Source organism: Homo sapiens, chromosome 1 (assembly GCF_000001405.40).
Source record: "Homo sapiens chromosome 1, GRCh38.p14 Primary Assembly".
NCBI lineage: Eukaryota > Metazoa > Chordata > Mammalia > Primates > Hominidae > Homo > Homo sapiens.
The window spans coordinates 49,485,645-49,491,912 of NC_000001.11; the positions used below are offsets into that span (position 1 = coordinate 49,485,645).

The 6,268-nt window shown below is 34.7% G+C and overlaps 1 protein-coding gene across 10 annotated transcripts in view; it reads right to left on the reverse strand.

Annotated features, from left to right (window-relative positions):
- The window catches only part of AGBL4 (AGBL carboxypeptidase 4), a 1,501,444-nt gene that overhangs the window by 963,134 nt on the left and 532,042 nt on the right, over window positions 1-6,268 (reverse strand). The gene's annotated exons all lie outside the window — the stretch shown is intronic.

Here is a 6,268-nt window from a genome sequence, read left to right on the forward strand (position 1 = left end):
AAAGAATGAGATCCTGTCATTTAGAACATGGATAGTATTGGAGGTGATTATGTTAAGTGAAATAAGCTAAGCACAGAAAGACAAACTTTGCATGTTCTCACCTATTTGTGAGAACTAAAAATTAAAACAGTTGATCTCAGGAGACAGAGGATAGAAGGATAGTTACCACAGGCTGGGAAGGGTAGTGGAGGGTTGCAGGGGATGTAGAGAGCCTTAATGGGTACAAACTAATAGAAAAAATGAAGAATACCTAATATTTGCTAGCATAACAGGGTGACTATAGTAAAAAGTCATTTCATTGTGCATTTTTAAATAATTAGAAAAGTATAATTGGATTGCTTGTAACACAAAGCATAAGTGCTTGAGGAGATAAATACCCCCATTTACCCTGATGTGAAGATGCTATTAGAGATGCTCAAAGCTGACAATTGCTTTGGAAGGAGTCTGTGGAGTGAGTCCCACCTCTTCTCACACTGCTTCAATTTGTCAGACCCCAGAGTCTGTCTATGCACTCAGAAATCAGATAGCAAATCAAAGTATTCATGTACTCTTTTTCAAATATGTACAAAATTTACTCTCAATTACCTTTACGGAAATACAGAGAATCTTCACCTATTTTCCAAAGGTAATCTCAGAAAGATGTCATCATATGTATTGTTCTTTTAAAATAATAACCATCAACAACTTAATAAGTTCACCTATCATTAGAACCAGTACCTAGCATACAGCTGGTTAAACACACCCAACCCTCTGATGTCATTCCACAAAGAATCTTAAAAACTCAGTCATAGGGAGAAAGCCCATCTCAGTTAATGAACCCCAACCCATCAAAATCCCTCAACCTGCTATGGCATGTTCCGTATAAGACCTTGTGGTCCTTAGCTCTCCTCATCCAGTTTTCAATGTTTCCTGCCCATCCTCCTCAAATTGGTGACCTATTCAGGCCTCTCTCTCTGGTTCATTTCCCTCACTACCTATTTCACTCTTGGTTATGCATTCTCCTGTGATTTCAGCATCACTTTTCACTTTAAGTAACAGGAAATCCCATTGTCCCATCTCTAGAAAAACGTCGGCGTAAGTAATCATTCCTCACATGATGCAAACAAGTTCTGAAAATCTAATGAAAAAATTTACATTCCTCTTACATGCAACCAAAAATGGGACAAACACCCTTAGAACAAAACTGCTAGCCCCATGTCTGTGTCTGAAGTTAAGAAATAGAGCAAAAGGTTAGTATGAATAATTTTCTCTCCATTGTGAGCAATAGTTGCTATAATTCAAGCTATGACATAACTATAAAAGAAATGCATACCTCGTCCTCCAAATAGCTATAAATGTTAGAAAATATATTAGTCAATATGTTAGTCAAATGTGATCAAAGATGTTCCACTCAGCATAGTACCTCTCAAAACAGAAAAATAATTAAATGTTCAAAAATAAGCTGGTGTGGGGTGGGGAAGGTGAAGTACAACGAAGATTTGTGGAAATGTTAGTATTATTATGCTATGCTCATTATGCTATTGAGTTTTACTCAGATTATTTCATCCAACTCATAACAACCCTGAGAAGTTAAAAAAGTTTAAGTAACATGCAACAGCTAACATTTACAGTATACTTCCAATATACCTGATATTGTGCTAAATGTTCTACAGGCACTATCTTATTTTATCCTCATGACAACTATATGAGGTAGGTGTCTGAGAAGTTTTGCTCTGTGTCCCCACCCAAATCTCACTTTGAATTGTAATTCTCATAATCCCCACATGTCAAGAACAGGAACAGGTGGAGGTAATTGAATCATGGGGGCAGTTTCCCCCATGCTGTTCTCCTCAGACAGACAAGACAAGCTAGTGAGTGAGTTCTCAGGAGATTTGGTGGTTTTATATGTGTCTGGCATTTCCCCTGCTTGCTCTCACTCCGTCCTGCTGCCCTGTGAAGAAGGTACCTGCCTCTCCTTTGCCTTCCACCATGATTATGTTTCCTGAGGCCTCACCAGCAATGCAGAAACTGTGAGTCAATTAAACCTCTTCCCTTTATAAATTACCCAGTGTTGAGTATTTCTTCATGGCAGTGTGAGAATGAACTAATACAGTGCCATTATCATCTTATTTTAAAAATGAAAAACCTATGGTCTAGAAAAGTAACTGTTTCAGTGGCATCAGGCAGCTAGTAAACTGTACAGACAGGGTTTGAACCCTGATATTCTGAGTACCGACCCCATGATCATGATCATGTAATTAAAGGATAGGTTTCAACAACTAAATGAAGGCAAAGATATCAGGGATAATTGAAACCAAGTGCTCCAATACGTAAACATTAGATTATTTGTGTTTTTATAAATGAAGAAACCTAAATTGAAATTAAACTTCTGTAAACCTCCACAGCAGGAATTGTTATTTTCAAATATCTGAAATATTATCTTATGTTTACTTTGTTGAATTTTAAAATTTTTGTTATGAAATATTTAGGTGTACTGAATACCCAGATTTAATCCATGTTAATATTTTGCCAGCTTCTAATCTTTAAAAAGAAATAAAAATTGTAAAGTTTTTCGTATAATCACCTCTCCCCAGAAAACCATTCTTTTCCTTTCTATCCCTGTGATAACTAATGCCCTGCAGTTGTTATATATTCTTTGTCCACATATTTTTGTATTTTATCATGTATGACTTTTGTATATTAATCTAGTATCCAACAGTCTTGTATGATTCATTCTAATAGTTATTCTGTGGCTTTCTCTTGAATTTTTTTATTAATTTTTAATTTTTGTGGATATATAGTAGTTGTAGATAATTACGGGATAATGAGACATTTTGATGTAAGTTTACAATGCATAATAATCACATCAGGGTAAGTGGGTTATCCATCACCTCAAGCATTTATCCTTTCTTTGTTTTAGAAACAATCCAATGATACTCTTTTAGTTATTTCAATACACACAATTAAATTATTGACTGTACTCATCCTGTAGTGCTATCAAATACCATATCTTATTCATTTTATATTACTATATTTTTGCACACATTAACTGTCCCCACATCCCACCCCTCCCACTATCCTTCTTTTCCTGTGGTTATCTTCTGTCTACTCTCCATCTCCATGAGTTAAATTGTTTTAATTTTTAGCTTCCACAAATAAGTGAGAACATGCAAACTTTGTCTTTCTGTGTTTGGCTTATTTCACCTCCAGTTCCATCTATGTTGTTGCAAATGACAGGATCTCATTCTTTTTTATGGCTGAATTGTACCCCATTGTGTATATGCATCACGTTTTCTTTATCCATTCATCTGTTGATGGATGCATATGTTGCTTCCAAATCTTGGCTGCGTGAATAGTGCTGCAATAAACACAGACTTGCAGATATATTTTTGATATACTGATTTCCTATCTTTTCGGTATATATCTAGTAGTGGAATTGCTGGATCATAAGGTAGCTCTATTTTTAGTTTTTTGAGGAACTTCTAAGCTGTTCTCTATAGTGTGTACTAATTTACATTCCCACCAACAGTGTATGAGGGCTCCCCCTTCTCCACATCCTCGCTTTCATTTGTTATTGCCTGACTTGGATAAAAGCCATTTTAACTGGAGTAAGATGATATCTCATTGTAGTTCTGACTTGCATTTCCCTAATGATCAATGATGTTGAGCCTCATTTCATACACCTGTTTGCCATTTATATGTTTTCTTTTGAGAGATGCCTATTCAGATCTTTTGCTTATTTTTTTAAATCAGATTATTAGATTTTTTTCCAGTATAGTTGTTTTCCCTGCTTATATATTCTGGTTATTAATCCCCTGTCAGATGAATAGTTTGCACATATTTTCTCCCATTCTGTGGTTTCCCTCTCCACTTTCTTGATTGTTTCTTTTGCTGTGCAGAAGCTTTTTACATTGATGTGATCCAATTTGTCCATTTTTACTTTGGGTTGTCTGTGCTTGTGGGGTATTACTCAAGAAATCTTTGCCCAGTCCAATGGCCTGGAGAGTTTCTTCAATGTTCCTTGTAGCAATTTTATAGTTTGAATCTTAGCTTTAAATTTTTAATCCATTTTGAATTGATTTTTATATGGCAAGAGATAAAGGTCTAATTTTATTCTTCTACATATGGATATACAGTTTTCCCAGCAGCATTTATTGAAGAGATTGTCCTTTCCCCAGTGTATGCCTTTGTTAAAATGTGTTCACTATAGATGTATGGATTTGTTTCTGGGTTCTCTATTCTTTTCTATCGGTTTATGTGTCTATTTTTATGCCAGTAGCATGCTGTTTTGGTCACTATAGCTTTGTAGTATAATTTTCTCTTGGATTTTCTATGTAGGAAATCATCATCTGGAAATAAGAAATAATTTTGTTTCTATTTCCAAATACTTACATGTCTTAATTCTCTTCCCTGTATTATGTGTTCTGGCTAAAACCTCACGTGTAATGTCAAATAGAGGTAGTGGCAGCAGGCATCTTTGCCTCTTCTTTTTCTTTAAGAGAAATGTTTCTAAAGTTTTGACAACAATTTGTGGTTTTAATAGGCAATCATTATCTAGTTTAGATTAATTCTCTTTGATTCCTGAATTTTCAGGAGATTTAATCATGGTTATTGAATTTTATCTTGTTTTTTCATTCATCTATTGAGATGAACATATTGATTTTGCTACTTAAATCTGTTAATGTTGTAACTTATTTTAAATTAAACAGTAATTAATGTATCTTTGAAGTTTTTAGATAAATCCTACTTCTCAGTAATTAAATTTTCTGCATATTGCTGTTTTTTTCCTACATATTGCTGGATTTTGGTTGTAAATATTTAAGTTGGATTTTTCATCAATATTCATAAAATTTCTTTCTATAAATTGTATTTCTAGTGTCATCTTTTCCTGGTTTTGCTATCAAAGTTTGCTAGCCTCTTTAAATGCTTGTTTATTTTTGTTTTAACTTACAGACATACTTCTCTCAAATGTCAGAGAACATAAAAGCCAACAAGTCCAAATTTGTATATCTTGGAGTTATTCACTTTTTTCTTAGTTTCCATCTGAAAAATCCCAAGGAATAATTCTGATTTGCTTTGCAAACCACATGGTTGGAGTTTGGAAGTGGGGGCATTTCTAAGAGGAAAAAAATGGATTCTGGGGAGATAGTGCTGTAGTTGTGCATTACATACTTCTTGCAAGTTTATTTTAACATGCTATAACTGGAAAGAAAACACAATAAAAACAAAAACTCAATTAAAGAAAATATGAAAGGGGTTTTAAGTTAAGCTTAACTTCCTCCTACCTGTGTAATTTTGGATCAATTATATCACCTCTCTGTACTCCCCTTTCCTCAGCTAGAAGAAAGAAAGAAAAAATATCTACCTTAGAGATAGGTAAAGTTTAATTAGTTTGCCTATGAGCTTCTTAAATATACATACCATGTCTCTATTCTCAGTACTCCACACAAAGTAGAAGCTCAGTGATAGTTGAATGAATGACCTAATGTACAGTTCATTTAATGCACCCTCCCTTGTGTCTAATGCAGTACTGGTACATAATCAGAGTTTAATATTTACTCTGTTTTACAATCCCAAAGGGCACACAGTAACATTAGCTTCAACTGCTTTACAAGTACCTCCCACATCAGATTGTTTTAGGCCTTTCCTGCAGATAAATCTATCCTAATTATAACCAAAGTTCTGAAAGTGAATAGGTCACCCTTCTAGCCTACCCATATTAAAGTACCAAATGGTGCAAAGGGAGAGTACTAGGGAGAAAATAAGAGTTTGTTTTAAAATGCGTATCTTCTCCCCCTCCTCAAAAGAAAGAAAAAAATGGCATAAGACTTTAAGCACCTAGAAAGCTGCATTGACTTTGAAATGCCACATTTGACCTTAGTTCTTGACACATAAAAAGTTTAAGTCATTTATCTTTTCCAAAAGGAATTACCATGATTCAAAAATTACTCAGGAGACTGTGGGTATATGCAAAGAACTAGATGGAAGCCAAAGTTTAATGAAATACTGGTGAAACCTTCTCAGAAAAGGCTGGCTTAATCAAGTTAGTTGACTCTCTTGTTAAAGTAAATTTGCTACAACAGCAGCAGCTGCCATTTATCTGAGCAACTTATATGTGGGACAGTCAGGATTAAAATTCAGATCTGTCTGATGTCAAAGCTCATGTTCTTTCCAAAATGCAATATAGTAGTCTCCTCTTATCTTCAGGGAATATGTTCCAAAACCCCCAGTGGATGCCTGAAACCACAGACAGTAGAAAACCCTGTATATATTATGTTTTCCCAATACA